General features: G+C 40.0%; 1 pseudogene; it reads right to left on the bottom strand.

The window, feature by feature from the left end:
• Positions 7,308 to 8,720, bottom strand: PPIAP72 (peptidylprolyl isomerase A pseudogene 72; annotated as a pseudogene).

Below are 16,696 nucleotides of genomic sequence, written 5' to 3' on the forward strand. Positions count from 1 at the left end.
GGCCAGCAGTAGAGTTTTCTTTTCCTAATATTTTCACCACACTTGATATGTGGTCAGGCTTTTAAAGTTTTGCCAATCTGAGGGTTTAAACAATATTGCATTTTAATCTTATTTTTTCTCATTTTGTTTTCTCACTTTATTTTTTGAGTATCTTACATGTTTATTGTCGATTCAGGTTTCCTTTTCTGAGAATTGTCTTTTTATTTCCTTTGCTTATTTTTCTGTTGAGTTGTTTGACAATTTCTAATAGATTTGTAGTAGTTCTACATATATCACAGAACTAATCCTTTGTTGCCTTTCCCTTACAGCAATATAAAATGTGCAATATATCAAGTCTCCCAGGCATCCCTTCAATTTAACACATAGTACCTACTTCCTCTAGTGAGTTATGAGGGTAGGAACCACATACCACTGTCTCCCCCAGGACCTAGCATACCCTTCATAGATGGTAGGCAGTGAGATTCATATTACTGCAGCTCAAAGGAGAGGGCTGGGCTGGAGATATACATGTGGACATCATGAGCACATGCGGGAGATTTAAAGCTATGGAAATGGGTAAGATCAACTAGAGAGCTTGTAAAGAAAGTAGAAAGGGAACCTAAAATTAAACTCCAAAAAGCTACAACATTTCTGACTGGCTAAGGCCAACAGAATCCTTAATTAAGTCAGAAAATTTGGAAGTTATAAAACAAAAGACAAACATATTTGACTAGGAAGTTTGTATGGCAAAATACACCATTAAAAAAGCCAGTATACAAACAATAGATTTGGGGAAAATATTTGCAATGTAGATGAAAAGAGCCAACATACATGTAAAGGGCTCTTACAAATTGATAAGCCAGGCTAATCACAAAATGGACAAATAATAGAAATAGAAGAGGAAATCCAAAGAGCCAACCAATTTTTAAAATAAGTTAATTAGTAGTTAGGGAAATTATTTTAACAATGCAACCAGCAAAAAAAAAAAAAAAAAAAAGAAGAAGCAATGATATATTTTTGTCTAAGATGTGGTAGAAAGAGTACCCACCTCACACTTTGATGGTGAAAATAGGTATTAAAAGTTCTTAGGAAACCAATCTGACAGTATTAAACATTCCATTTTATAAAGTAGGAATTTTATAAAATTCCATTTTATAAAAACAGGCAAAACCTAATATATATATAGTCTTTGAAGTTCACAAGATGCGCACTTTACAGGGGAGTTAGTAACTAGAAGGTGGCGTGAAAGGAACTTCTGAGACTGGTAATTTTCTATTTTTGATCTGGGTGCTGGTCACAAAGACAATTCAGTTTGTGAAAAATAAGCTATATTCCTATATGATTTTTATCTTTATGTTATGTTCTAAAAGCATGTTAAACTTCAATAAAGATTTTAAAATGTACTTACAATAAAGATTTTAAAACGTACTTACAATAAAGCTTTTAAAAATATGCCCCACACATCTTCTTCTCTTGGGAATCTATTCCATGAGAATAAAGGTGTTAGTGTTGGTATATAAGGATATATACAAGGACATTTATTGCAGTATTGTTCATAGTGGGGAAGAAAAGAAACTGGAAATTGTAAATGCCCGTCTACAGATAAATGATTGAATAAATTATTATACATCATGAGTTACAACTCAGCCATTCAGAAGAATGAATTGGAGAGGTTTCCAGGAAGTATTTTTGAGTCAAGAAATAATATAGTACAATTTTATAAAACAATGGCAGAGCATCCTATCTAATGTATGTATGTATGTCTTTACAGATTTTTTTTCTGTATATGATTACACAAGCATGGAGAGAAATAGAGGTTGCAAACAAGTATAATGACATGAGTCGCCTAGTAGGAATGGGAGTGGGATTGATTGAGAGAGGTGGGGAGTAACCAAAATTCAAGAAAAAAAAGGTTTCACTTAAAAAATAAGCAGTTATGATCACATTTATGCATTTATATAAAATTGTTTATAAGAAGCAAAGAAAAAATTAAAATTGGATAAAGGAGAAAGACTTAGTGAAACATTGAAAAGGAAGTGAGCTTTTGACTGGGAGGTGGAGACTGCAGTGAGCCGAGATCATGCCATTGCACTCCAGCCTGGGCAACAAGAGTGAAACTCTGTCTCAAAAAAAAGAGAAAGAAAAAAGAAAAGTGTTTTGAGATGGTAGAAAACCCTAAGATTAGAAGGCAAGGCAAGAAAGCATAAAACAGGAATAGTTAACTATGTCAAATTGCTGCTGAGAGGAGAAAAGCATGAGAACTGAAATGTATCTATTAGATTTGGCATCATGGAGGATGTGGGTGAGAAAATGAACAAAATCAGGCTCAATGAAATGAGACAGAAGCCATATTAAAATGGATGAATAGTTAGTGGGGGTAAGAGAAAAGATGGAAAAGGTAATGCTGACAACTCTCTTGCAAAAAAAAAAAAAAAAAAAAAAAGGCCAAAATAAGCTGGACGTGGTGGCTCACACCTGTAATCCCAGCACTTTGGGAGGCTGAGGAGGGCAGATCACCTGAGAGCAGGAGTTCGAGACCAGCCTGGTCAACATGGCGAAACCCCGTCTCTATCAAAAATACAAAAATTAGCTGGGCATGGTGGCGGGCACCTGTAATCCAGCTACTTGGGAGGCTGAGGCAAGAGAATCGCTTGAACCCAGGAAGCAGAGGTTGCAATGAGCTGAGATGGCGCCATTGCACTCCAGCCTGGGCGACAAGAGCAAAACTCCATTAAAAAAAAAAAAGGCAAAATATAAAAAGTCTTGAAGTTATCATAAAGCTAAAAAGACAATCTAAGCCAAGATGTAGCAGAAGATGGAAAACCAGAGAGATGAGCCAAGCATTTGGAACCACTTAACCCTGGAAATGTTTATTTATTCCAGAACAGGAGGTCAAGAGTCTAAGCAGTACTTATAACAGCCTTGAAGGGATGGGGAGACAAAAATTAGGGTAAGGGAATGCCAAGGTTGGGATACTCTAGCAAAACTTCCACATTTTGGGCAGGAACCCCCAAAGAACAGTACTTAAGGAATAAGAATAAATAGTTTATCTGTCCTTGAAATTAGAGTTATCACGGATGTAATTATCCAACATAAATAAACATGCAAGCAAATGAGACAGGACAACACAAATAGGGTCAGCAGAAATAACAAAAACAGACACATAGGTTGTAAATTAAGAGTTAATTAGATGTACAGCTTAATGTAACTATGTTTGTTTTTTGTTTTGTTTTGTCTTTTGTGACGGAGTCTCGCTCTGTTGCTGGATGTGTTGCTGGATTCAGTTTTTTTTGTATTTTTTAGTAGAGACGGGGTTTCACCATGTTAGCCAGGATGGTCTCGATCTCCTGACCTCGTGATCCGCCCGCCTCGGCCTCCCAAAGTGCTGGGATTACAGGCGTGAGCCACCGCGCCCGGTCTGTAACTATGTTTAAAATGTTCAAGATGATTCAAAAAAGAAAAAAAAAAGTCTGAGAATATCAGCATGGAATAGGAAAATTTTAAAAAGGGCATAGCAGAACTGAAAAGAACTAAAGAGAAACTATAGAGTCAAAAAGTACAATAGTGAAACTAAGAACTCAAAATCAGAGAAACAGTAAACTGGAATATAGGTGAGACAAATATATATAAGAAAAATACAACAGATTATAGAGAAGACAGTAGTAAATATAGACTATATAGTTAAAAGCATGTGTAATTATAGTTCCAAAGAAGAAAGAATGATGCAGAAAAAGGTTTAAAGAGATAATGCCTTGGAATTTCCCAAATGATGAAAAGCATCAAGCTACAGATTTGAGCCCTGCAAACACCAACCAGGAAGGAGACACAGAAAACCATCTCTAGGCCTATCATAGTAAAACTGCTAAAAACCAAAGACAACAAGAAAATCATTAAAAGTGGCTAGTGGGAGGCCAGACGCGGTGGCTCACGCCTGTAATCCCAGCACTTTGGGAGGCCGAGGCGGGTGGATCTCGTCAGGAGATTGAGACCATCCTGGCTAACACGGTGCAACCCCGTCTCTACTAAAAATACAAAAAATTAGCCAGTCATGGTGGCGGGCGCCTGTAGTCCCAGCTACTCGGGAGGCTGAGGCAGGAGATGGCGTGAACCCGGGAGGCAGAGCTTGCAGTGAGCCAAGATCGTGCCACTGCACTCCAGCCTGGGTGACAGAGTGAGATTCTGCCTCAAAAAAAAAAAAAAAAAAAAAAAGTGGCTAGTGGAAAAAACACACACCAAAACATAAGGCTAACTTTTCCATAGAAATGACAGAAGCAAGAAGACAATGGAAAAATACCTTCAAAGTGCTGAAAAACAACTAACTAAATATCTATACCCAGCAAAACTACTGTTTATTACCAGGCAAAATAAAGTTGAGGTAATTCATCCAGAGCAGACCAACCAAAGGAAATATTAAAGTATATTCTTTGGTCTAAGAAGAAAAAATTATTTCAGTTGAAAGTTTAAAAATGCAAGAGAAAGGATTTGAAAAGCAACAATGGTAAAAACGGACATAGATCTAAATAAATTGTGACTGTATAAACAATCTCTTGTGGGGTTAATATTGGGAGGCCAAGGCAGGAGGATGACTTGAGCCCAGGAGTTCAGTCTAGGAAAAGACTATTTGACTTTGCCGTATGTTTCCTTGTAGTAGTTTTATAGTTTCAGGTGTTTTTGTTGTTGTTTGTTTGTTTGCAGAGACAAGGTCTCATTATGTTGCCTAGGCTAGTCTAGAACTCGTTGGCTGAAGCGATGCTCCTGCCTGATTACAGGTGTGAGTCACCACACTTGGCTAGTTTCAGGTCTTATGTTTAACTCTTTAATCCAACTCTTTATTGTTGTACACAGTGAGAATTAGGGGGCCTACATTCATTCTTCTGCATATGGATATCCGGTTTTCCCAGTAGCATTTATTGAAGAGGGATCCTTTTTCCCATGTGTGTTCATGGCACCTTTGACAAAAATCAGTTGGCTGTCAACATGTGGAATTACTTCTAGGTTCTCTATTACGTTTCATGGGTCTATATGTCTGTTTTTATACCAGTACCATGCTGGTTTTTTTTTTTTTTTTTTGAGATGGAATCTTGCTCTGTCACCCAGCCTGGAGTGCACTGGCGTGATCTTGGCCCACGCAACCTCCACCTTCCGGGTTCAAGTGATTCTCCTTCCTCAGCTTCCCGAGTAGCTGGGACTACAGGCGATGCCACCACGCCTGGCTAGTTTTTTGTATTTTTATTAGAGACGGGGTTTCACCGTGTTAGCCAGGATGGTCTTGATCTCCTGACCTCGTGATCTGCCCACCTTGGTCTCCCAAAGTGCTGGGATTACAGGCATAAGCCACCGCGCCTGGCTGCTGTTTTAATTACTATAGGTTTGTAGCATACTTTGAAGTCAAGCAGCGTGATACCACCAGCTTTTTTTTTTTTTTTTTAAAGGCAGGGTTTCATTCTGTCACCCAGGCTGGAGTGCAGTAGTATGATCACAGCTCAGTGCAGCCTTGACCTCCTGGGTTCAAATGATCCTCCTACCTCACCCTCCTGAGTAGCTGGGACTACAGATGCATGCCACCACACTAATTTTAATTTTTGTGTGTGTGTGGAGATGAGGGTCTTACTATGTTGGCCAGGCTGGTCTTGAACTCCTCAGCTCAGGCGATCCTCCTGCCTCAGCCATTCAAAGTGTTAGGATTACAGGCATGAGATACCATGCCTGCCCAGTTTTCTTTGCTCAGTACTGTTTTAGCTACTTGGGATCTTTTGTGGTTCCATATGAATTATAGGATTGTTTTTTCTATTTCTGTGAAGAGTATCATCGGCGTTTTGATAGGGATCGCATGAATCTACAGATGGTTTTGGGTAGTATGGTCATTTTAACAATGTTGATTCTTCCAGTCCGTGAGCATGAGATGTCTTTCCATTTGTTTGTGTCCTCTACAATTTCTTTTTATCAGTGTTTCATAGTTTTCCTTGTAGAGGTATTTTATCTCCATATATATATTATATATGTGTGTGTGTGTGTGTATTCCTATATATACATATTCCTATACATATATATATACATATTCCTATATATATACATATTCCTATACATATATATATATATACACCTAGGTATTTTGGTAGGGGGGATAGTGATTGTAAATGGGATTGCTTTCTTGATTTCTTTTTCAGCTAGTTCATTGTTGGTGGATAAAAACACCACTGACGTTTTAATGTTGATTTTGTATCCTATAACTTTACTGAATTCATTTATCAGTTCTAAGAGCTTTATGCTGGAGTCTTCAGGTTTTTAAAATATAAGGTCAATTCATATGCAAAGAGGGACAATTTAACTTCCTCTTTTCCAATTTGGAGGCCTTTTTAAAATTTCTGTTACCTGATTGTTCTGGCTAGGACTTCCAGTACTATATGTTGATTAGTAGAGGTGAAAGTGGGCAACTTTGGTTCCAGTTCTTAGAAGAAAGGCTTTAAGCTTTTCCCTCTTCAGTATGATGTTAGCTGTGTTTCTCATATATGGCTTTTATTACACTGAGTATGTTCCTTCTATGCTAAATTTGTTTTTATCATGAAGTGATGTTTAATTTTAGCAAATGCGATTGCTGCATCTATTGAGAAGATTAATATGATTTGGCTCTATGTCCCCACCCAAATCTCATCTCGAATTATAATCCCCACATGTTGAGGGAGGGACCTGTAATCCCCACGTGTTGAGGGAGGGAGGTGATTGGATCATGGGGGCAGATTCCTCCATGTTGTTCTGATAGTGAGTTCTCTGAGATTTGATGGTTTTGTAAGCGTCTGGCATTTCCCCTGCTTGCACTTCTCTCTCCTGTTGCCATGTGAAGAGCTTCTTGCTTTCTGTTTGCCTTCTGCCATGAATGTAAGTTTCCATAGGCCTCCCCAGCCATGTGGAATGTTGAGTTAATTAAACCTCTTTCCTTTACAAATTACCCAGTCTCAGGTTTATTTATAGCAGTGTGAAAATGGACTAATATGAAGATCATATGGTTTTTGTCCTTCATTCTGTTGGAAATGATGTATCATGTTTATTGATTTGTGTATGTCAAACCATCCTTGCATCCCTGAGATAAATCCCATTGGATCATCGTATTATTTTTTTGATGTGTTGCTGGATTCAGTTTGCTAGCATTTTGTTAAGGATTTTTGCATTTATTTTCATCAAAGATATTGGCCTGTAGTTTTATTTTTCATTTGATTATGTCTAGTTTTGTATCAGGGTAATGCTGGCATCACAGAATGAGTTAAGAAGAATTCCTTCCTCTTCAATTTTTTGGAATAGTTTGATAAAAGTTGGTGTTATTTCTTTTTTTGTGTGATTTAATTTTTATTTCATAATCATAAACTTAACTCTGGAATCCAGCTAGGCATGGAAGGGAACAAGGAAAACATGGAACCCAAAGGGAAATGCAGTGAGAGCACAAAGATTATAGGATACTGTGAGCAAATGGGGTGGAGGGGTGCTCTCTTGAGCTACAGAAGGAATGGTCTGGTGGTTAAGATAAAACACAAGTTGGCTGGGCACGGTGGCTCATGCCTGTAATCCCAGCAATTTGGGAGGCCAAGGTGGGTGGATCATGAGGTCAGGAGATCAAGACCATCCTGGCCAACATGGAAAAAACCTTGTCGCTACTAAAAATACAAAAATTAGCTGGGTGTGGTGGTGTGTGTCTGTAATCCCAGCTACTTGGGAGGCTGAGGCAGGAGAATTTCTTGAACCAGGGAGTTGGAGGTTGCAGTGAGCCGAGATTGCATCACTGTACTCCAGCCTGGTGACAGGGTGAGACTCCATCTCAAACAAAGCAAAACAAAACAAAACAAAACAAAACAAAACAAAACAAAACACCACCAAAAAGATAAAACACAAGTCAAACTTATTAGAGGGTCCACAATCAGCAGTGGTGATCTTCTTGCAGGTCTTGCCATTCCAGGACCCAAAGTCCCCCATGGCCTCCACAAATATTCATGCCTTCTTTTTTTTTTTGTTTTGAGACAGAGTCTTGCTCTGTCGCCCAGGCTGGAGTGCAGTCACGTGATCTCAACTCACTGCAAGGTCCGCCTTCCAAGTTCATGCTATTCTCCTGCCTCAGCCTCCTGAGTAGCTGGGACTACAGGTGCCTGCCACCACATCTGGCTAATTTTTTTTTTTTTCTATTTTTAGTAGAGACAGGGCTTCACCTTGTTAGTCAGGATGGTCTCAATTTCCTGACCTTGTGATCCACCCACCTTAGCCTCCCAAAGTGCTGGGATTACAGGTGTAAGCCACCACGCCTGGCCATTAATGCCTTCTTTCACCTTGCCAAAGACCATATGCTTGCCATCCAACCACTCAGTCTTGGCAGTGCAGATGAAAAACTGGGAACTGTTTGTGTTGGATCCAGCCTTTGCCATGGACAAGATGCCAGGACCTGTATGCATTAGGATGAAGTTCTCATCATCAAATTTCTCCCTGTAGATGGACTTGCTACCAGTGCCATTATGGCGTGTGAAGTCACCACCCTGACACATAAACCCTGGAATAATTATCTGAAAGCAGGAACCCTTATAACCAAATCCTTTCTCTCCAATGCTCAGAGCATGAAAGTTTTCTGCTGTCTTTGGAAACTTGTCTGCAAAAGGCTCAAAGGAGACACACCTCAAGGGCTCACCATCGACGGCGATGTCGAAGAACATGGTGGGGTTGATCATGGGTGATAATACGGGGCTCCCAGTGGTGACAACTGCAAAGCCGGTGTTATTTCTTCTTTAAAAGTTTGTTAGAATTTAGCAGTAAATCTGGTTCTGGGCTTTTCTCTATTGGGAGAGTTTTTTATTACTGCTTCAATCTTATTACTTGTTATTGGTATCTTTGTTTTCTATTTCTTCCTGGTTCAATGTTGGTAGGTTGCATGTGTCCAGGAATGTATATATTTCCAGTAGGTTTTCCATTTTTGTTATTGTATAGTTGCTCATAATTGTCTCTAATGATCTTTTGTATTTCTGTTGCATCCGTTGTAATTTTTTTTTTAGATGAAGTTTTGCTTCTGTTGCCCAAGCTGAAGTGCAATGGCGTGATCTCAGCTCACCACAACCTCTGCCTCCCAGGTTCAAGCAATTCTCCTACCTCAGTCTCCCGAGTAGCTGGGATTACAGGCATGAGCCACCATACCTGGCTAATTTTGTATTTTTAGTAGAGACAGGGTTTCTCCATGTTGGTCAGGCTGGTATTGAACTCCCGACCTCAGGTAATTTGCCTGCCTCGGCCTCCCAAAGTGCTGGGATTACAGGTGTCAGCCACCGTGACCAGCCATGTCTCTTTTTTTACTTCTATTTGTTTGGATCCTTTTTCTTGGTTAGACTAGCTAGTGGTTTATTGATTGAGTTTATATTTTCAAAGAACCAATTTTTCATTTTGTTGATTCTTTGTATTGTTTTTTTCAGTTTCTATTTCATTTTGCTTTGCTTTGCTCTTTATTCTTTCTTTCCTTTTACTAATTTTAGGTTTAGTCTGTTCTTGCTTTTCTAGTTTTTTGAGGTGGATTTTTTAGGTTGTTTATTCAACATCTTTCTACTTTTCAGGTATAGACGTTAATTGCTATAAACTTCCCTCTTAGCATTGCTTTTTCTGTGTCACAAAGGTTTTGGTATGTTTTTCCATTTTCATTTGTTTCAAGAATTTTTACTTTCTTTCTTAATTTTTACATTGACCCATTGGTTATTCAGGTGTATGTTGTTTAATTTCCACATATTTGTTCCCAAAGTTCCTGTTGTTGATTCCTAATTTTCACTGTGGTCTTAGAAGATACTTGATATGATTTCAATTTTTAAAACTTTCTTGAGGCTTGTTTTATGGCCTAACATATGGTCCATCCTGGAGAATGTTCCATGTGTTCATGAGAAGAATTTATTTTCTGCTGCTGTTGCCTGAAATGTTCTCTAAATGTTAGATCCATTTGGTCTAAAGTGCAGTTTAAATCCAATGTTTCTTGAATTTCTGTCTAGATAATCTCTTCCATGCTGAATGTGGGAGTGGTGAAATCCCCAACTATTGTTGTATTAGCCTGTCTTTTTAGCTGTAATAATATTTGTTTTATATATTTTGGTTTCTGATGTTGGGTGCATAGATATTTACAATTGTTATATCCTCTTGCCTAATTGATTCCTTTATTATAATTTTCTTGTCTCATTTTTTTTGACTTAAACTCTCCTTTGATATAAGTGTAGCTACTCCTGCATGCTTTTGTTTTGTTTGCATGAGGTATTTTTTTCCATCCCTTCATTTTCAGTCTATGTGTCTTTATAGGTGAGATGAGTTTCATGTAGACAGCATATATCTGGGTCTTATTTTTGTTAGCCATTCAGCCAGTCTATATCTTTTAGTTGGGGGAGCTTAAACTTTGACATTCCAGCTTGTTATTAATAGGTGAGGACTTCCTGTCATTTTGTTGTTTTCTGATTGTTCTGAATATCCTTTCTTCCTTTATTCTTCTTTTACTTTCTTTTATGATCTGGTGGTTTTTTTTTTTTTTTTTTTTTTTTTTAGAGTAACAACACTCCTATTCCTGTTTTGTGTATCTGCTCTACACTACTTTTGTTAAGTTTTCATGATGGTAGATGTTGTCCTTTTGTTTCCTGGTGTAGGGCTCCCTTAAATATTTCTTGTGGGGCTAGTCTAGTGGTAATGAATTATCTCCATTTTTGTTTTTCTGAGAAAGACTACTTTCCCTTCATTTTTCCAGGATACCTTTGCTGGACACAGGATTCTTGGTTGACAGTTTCTTTTTTTTTTTTTCTCTCAGTACTTTGACTATTTTATTCCTTTCTCTCCTGACCTACAAAGATTCTGCTGAGAAATTCATTGTTAGTCTCATGGAGATTCCCTTATATGTGGTTTGATGCTTTTTTTTTTAAATTATACTTTAAGTTCTAGGGTACATGTGCACAACATGCAGGTTTGTTACATACATATACATGTGCCATGTTGGTGTGCTGCACCCATTAACTCGTCGTTTACATTAGGTATATCTCCTAATGCTATCCCTCCCCCCTCCCCTCACCCCATGACAGACCCCAGTGTGTGGTGTTCCCCTTCCTGTGTCCAAGTGTTCTCACTGTTCAATTCCCACCTATGAGTAAGAACATGCAGTGTTTGGTTTTCTGTCCTTGCGATAGTTTGCTGAGAACGATGGTTTCCAGCTTCATCCATGTCCCTACAAAGGACATGAACTCATCATTTTTTATGGCTCCATAGTATTCCATGGTGTATATGTGCCACATTTTCTTAATCCACTCTATCATTGATGGACATTTGGGTTGGTTCCAAGTCTTGCTATTGTGAATAGTGCCGTAAAAAACATATGTGTGCATGTGCCTTTATAGCAGCATGATTTATAATCCTTTGGATATATACCCAGTAATGGGATGGCTGGATCAAATGGTATTTCTAGTTCTAGAACCTTGAGGAATCGCCACACTGTCTTCCACAATGGTTGAACTAGTTTACAGTCCCACCAACAGTGTAAAAGTGTTCCTATTTCTCCACATCCTCTCCAGCACCTGTTGTTTCCTGACTTTTTAATGATCGCCACTGTAACTGATGTCAGATAGTATCTCATTGCAGTTTTGATTTGCATTTCTCTGATGGCCAGTGATGGTGAGCATTTTTTCATGTGTCTGTTGGCTGCATAAATGTCTTCTTTTGAGAAGTGTCTGTTCATATCCTTTGCCCACTTGTTGATGGGATTGTTTTTTTCTTGTAAATTTGTTTGAGTTCATTGTAGATTCTGGATATTAGCCCTGTGTCAGATGAATAGATTGCAAAAATTTTCTCCCGTTCTGTAGGTTGCCTGTTCACTCTCATGGTACTTTCTTTTGCTGTGCAGAAGCTCTTTAGTTTAATTAGATCCCATTTGTCAATTTTAGCTTTTGTTGCCATTGCTTTTGGTGTTTTAGACATGAAGTCCTTGCCCATGCCTATGTCCTGAATGGTATTGCCTAGGTTTTCTTCTAGGGTTTTTATGGTTTTAGGTCTAACATTTAAGTCTTTAATCCATCTAGAATTAATTTTTGTATAAGGTGTAAGGAAGGGATCCAGTTTCAGCTTTCTACATATGGCTAGCCAGTTTTCCCAGCACCATTTATTAAATAGGGAATCCTTTCCCCATTTCTTGTTTTTGTCAGGTTTGTCAAAGATCAGATGGTTGTAGATGTGTGGTATTATTTCTGAGGGCTCTGTTCTGTTCCATTGGTCTATATCTCTGTTTTGGTACCAGTACCATGCTGTTTTGGTTACTGTAGCCTTGTAGTATAGTTTGTAGTCAGATAGCATGGTGCCTCCAGCTTTGTTCTTTTGGCTTAGGATTGACTTGGCAATGAGGGCTCTTTTTTAGTTCCATATGAACTTTAAAGTAGTTTTTTCCAATTCTGTGAAGAAAATCATTGGTAGCTTGATGGGGATGGCACTGAATCTATAAATTACCTTGGGCGGTATGGCCATTTTCACAATGATTCTTCCTATCCATGAGCATGGAATGTTCTTCCATTTGTTTGTGTCCTCTTTTATTTCGTTGAGCAGTGGTTTGTAGTTCTCCTTGAAGAGGTCCTTCACATCCCTTTTAAGTGGGATTCCTAGGTATTTTATCTCTTTGAAGCAATTGTGAATGGGAGTTCACTCATGATTTGGCTCTCTGTCTGTTATTGGTGTATAAGAATGCTTGTGATTTTTGCACATTGATTTTGTATCCTGAGACTTTGCTGAAGTTGCTTATCGGCTTAAGGAGATTTTGGGCTTCTTTTGCTGTTTTTAGAATTCTCTGTTTTTGACTTTTGACAGTTTGACTATCATTTGTCTCTGGGAAGACCTCTTTAGATTGAATCTATTTGGGACTCCTTGAGTTTCCAGCTTCCAAATGTCTATGTCTCTAGCAAGACCTGGGAAGTTTTCAGCTATTATTTCATTAAATAGGCTGTCTATACCTTTGCCCATTTCTTCTCCTGGAACTCCCCAAATTTGAATTTTTGTTCTTTTGTGTCCCATATGTCACATGGCTTGCTTTATTGTTTTTTATGTCTTATTTCAAAAAACATGTCTTCAGTTCAGAAATTCTTTCTTCTGCTTTATCTTGTCTTATTATGTTGTCTTCAATAAGATGAGGTTATGTACGTTGTAGTCGGACTTCACTGGGGATAGGGAAACCAGGTGAGCCAGTCAGTCCTCTAGCACCAGTGGCAGCAGCAGAAGGGTAGGTGGGCCAGTCCTCAGTCGCCTGGGTGGTGTACTTCATGTGGCAGGCTCAAGTGCTGGCAGTGGTTGTGGCAGGTCAGGCAGGCAGGTCCTCAGGGCCCTGGGTAGCACTTGTGGTATTGGCTGTGGCAGTAATGTCAACAGGCTGGCCCTCAGGCCCCTGGGTGGTATGCATGAGTGCCAGCGGAGGTGCCAATGGGCTAGTCAGCCCAGTCTCCAGGCTCCTAGGTGGCATGCATGGGTGGGTGTTGGCAATGGCAGTGATGGGTGGGTTGGGCCTGTCCTTAGGTCCCCAGAGGTGCATGCAGGCGCTGGCAGCATGAGTGGACTTGGCAGGTCTGTCCTCACACCCTTGGATAGTGTGTGAGGGAGGATTGTTCCTTAGGCCTCTTCACAGCATGTACAGGTATGAGGTGGCCCTGCTGCTGGAAGGGCAGGATTGCAGTTGGTGGCAGCAGTCTCAGGAAGTCAGCTGCCAAGCTGCAGGGAATGTACACTTTGGCCCTCTTTGTCCTTGGGGCAGCCTCCCTGATGTGCTTCACCACCTATTCTCTAGGGTGTAGGTTACCTTGTGGGCTAGAGTGCTGAGGAACTGGCCATAGCACTGGGTCCAGCTGGCATTGCAATGCTGCAGCCCTCTAGGTGGTGGTGGGAGGATGTCAGTGGGGCTCCAGGAATGTGGAGATGCAGGGGCTGTTGAGTCCCAGGGAGGATGTAGTCTGGTGGGGACTGAGCTCTCAAAATGGCACCATGCTGCAGTTGCTTGGGTGTTGGCGGTCAGTGGGATCCAGTGTGAATTCCCTTTCTTGAACAATGCAGTTTTGTGAACTCCAAGCAGCAACCTATACTAGGCTCAGGGCCTGTTAGGGCCAAGGGGCTCTCTGGTGGCTAGGACTGCAGGCATCCCTGGTGGGAATGTGGACTATTGGGAATCTCCCCCTTACCTTTTCCTAGTAATGGCAAGTTCCTTCCAGCTCTGAGCCAATTCCAGCTGGGCTGGGTGCTTCTTTGTTTCTCTCTCCTTCTTTACCTCAGAGGTGCCCTGTCACTTTCCTGGTGAATTCTAGTGTTCTCTCTGTCTACTTGATGTGTGGTTATCTATTTGCTGCTTTGGTCCCACTTAGTGGAGGAGGTGAGTGCCAGGCACCTCATCAGCCATGTTGGTTACATCTTGCCTAAAAGAACTTGACACAGATCTTAAAAGGAACTTATGGGCTAATACCACTGATTGAAAAAAAAAAAAGATGCAAACCCCTCAAATATTAGCAAATCAAATCCAGGAATACACATTTAAAAACACTTCACAATCAGCCGGGCACATTGGCTCATGCCTGTAATCCCACCACTTTGGGAGGCCAAGGCTGGCAGATCATTTGAGATCAGCAGTTCAAGACCAGCTGGGCCAACATACTGAAACCATGTCTCTACTAAAAATACAAAAATACAAAAATAAATAAATAAATAAATAAATAAAAAATAAGCCAGGCTTGGTGGCAGTTACCTGTAATCCCAGCTATTTGGGAGGCTGAGGCAGGAGAATCACTTGAACCCAGGAGATGGAAGTTGCAGTGAGCTGAGATTACGCCACTGCACTCTAGCCTAGGGGACAAAGCAAGACTCCTTCTTGAAGAAACAAACAACAACAAAAAATTACAATCAATTTGGCTCATTGCTGGAATGCAAACTTCATTTAATATTGAAACATGACTCACCAAATGAGAAAAACCTTATGATCATTGGAATAAAATGCAGAAAAATCATCTGATAAATTTCCACATCCATTAATAATTTTTTAAAAAGTCCCTTAGCAAATTAGAAAGCTAAGGTAGCTTCTTTAGTCTGATAAAAGAGATCCACCCAGGTATTAAGCCCAGTACTCAATAGCTATCTTTTCTGCTTCTGGGCTTAATACCTGGGTGATGAAATAATCTGTACAACAAAACTGTGACACAAGTTTACCTATGTTACAAGCCTTCGCATGTACCCCCAAACCTAAAAGTAAAAAAAAAAAATTTAAAAAGAGAAAAATAGGAACACAAAAATGCAGTATTAAAACATAACTGCATAAAATTAACTGTAGTACATGACATACTACTTTAATAATTTCGTAGCCACCTCTCATTGCTATTGTGAGTTCAAGTGTTGCCAATATCTGCTTAAAGTGCTGTGTGATGCTAATCATCTCCGTGTGGGTAGTTCGTGTCTCTACTAAATTATGTATCATGGTGAAAAAAAAAAATCCACAAAAAAAAAAATCAACAGTATTTTTAGGTGATACATACAAAATCAAAATAATTTATACAGGCCGGGCTCAGTGGCTCATGCCTGTAATCCCAACACTTTGGGAGGCCAAGGCGGACAGACTGCTTGAGTCCAGAAGTTTGAGGCCAACCTGGGCAACATGGTAAACCTCCGTCTCTTAAAACAAACAAACAAACAAACAAAAATTAGCTGCGTGTGGTGGTGCATGCCTGTGGCCCCAGCTATTCAGGAGGCTGAGGTCGGAGGACCACCTAAGCCCAGGAGACAGAGGTTGCAGTGAGCCGAGAGTACGCCACTGCACTCCAGCCTGGGTGACATAGTGAGACCCTGTCTCAAGAAAAAAAAAAAAAATTCATACAAATAAATTGTTAGGATTAATTAGAAAGTTTATAAGTCTGCTAAATACAAACATCAAATGTATTTGTGGACCTTTGCTCTGGAACTTTATGAAAATACAGGTTTGGCTGGGTGCGGTGGCTCATGCCTATAATCCCAGCACTTTGGGAGGCTGAGGTAGGTGGATCACCTGAGGTCAGGAGTTCGAGACCAGCCTGACCAATATGGTGAAACCCTGTCTTTATTAAAAATACAAAAATTAGCTGGACATGGTGGTGCATACCTGTAGTCCCAGCTAAACTCGGGAGGTTGAGACATAATTGCTTGAACCTGGGAGGTGGAGGTTGAAGTGAATCGAGATCACACCACTGCACTCCAGCCTGGGCAACAAAGCGAGACTCCATCTCAAAAAATAAATAAATAAATAAATTAAATTAAATACAGGTTTGGGGGCTCCACCCCCATTTCTAAATCAGTAGCTCCAGGGCAGGGCTCAAGGATGTGCATTTCTTTTTTTTTTCTTTTTTTGAGATGGAGTCTCACTCTGTTACCCAGGCTGGAGTGCAGTGGTGTGATCTCGGCTACTGCAACCTCCGCCTCCTGGGTTCAAGTGATTCTCCTACCTCAGCCTTTCGAGTAGCTGGGATTACAGGAGCCAGCCACCATGCCCAGCTAATTTTTGTGTTTTTAGTAGATACAGGTTTCACCATGTTGGCCAGGCTAATCTTGAACTCCTGACCTCAGGTGATTCCCCGGCCTCGCCCTCCCAAAATGCTGGGATTACAGGTGTGAGCTGCCAGGCCCCACCAAGAATCTGCATTTCTATGGGTACAAAAAAAATAGTAAGAATGAATAAGATCTAGTATTTGATAGCACAACAGAG

The sequence above is a fragment of the Homo sapiens genome, chromosome 3 (assembly GCF_000001405.40).
Source record: "Homo sapiens chromosome 3, GRCh38.p14 Primary Assembly".
Classification (NCBI taxonomy): Eukaryota; Metazoa; Chordata; class Mammalia; order Primates; family Hominidae; genus Homo; species Homo sapiens.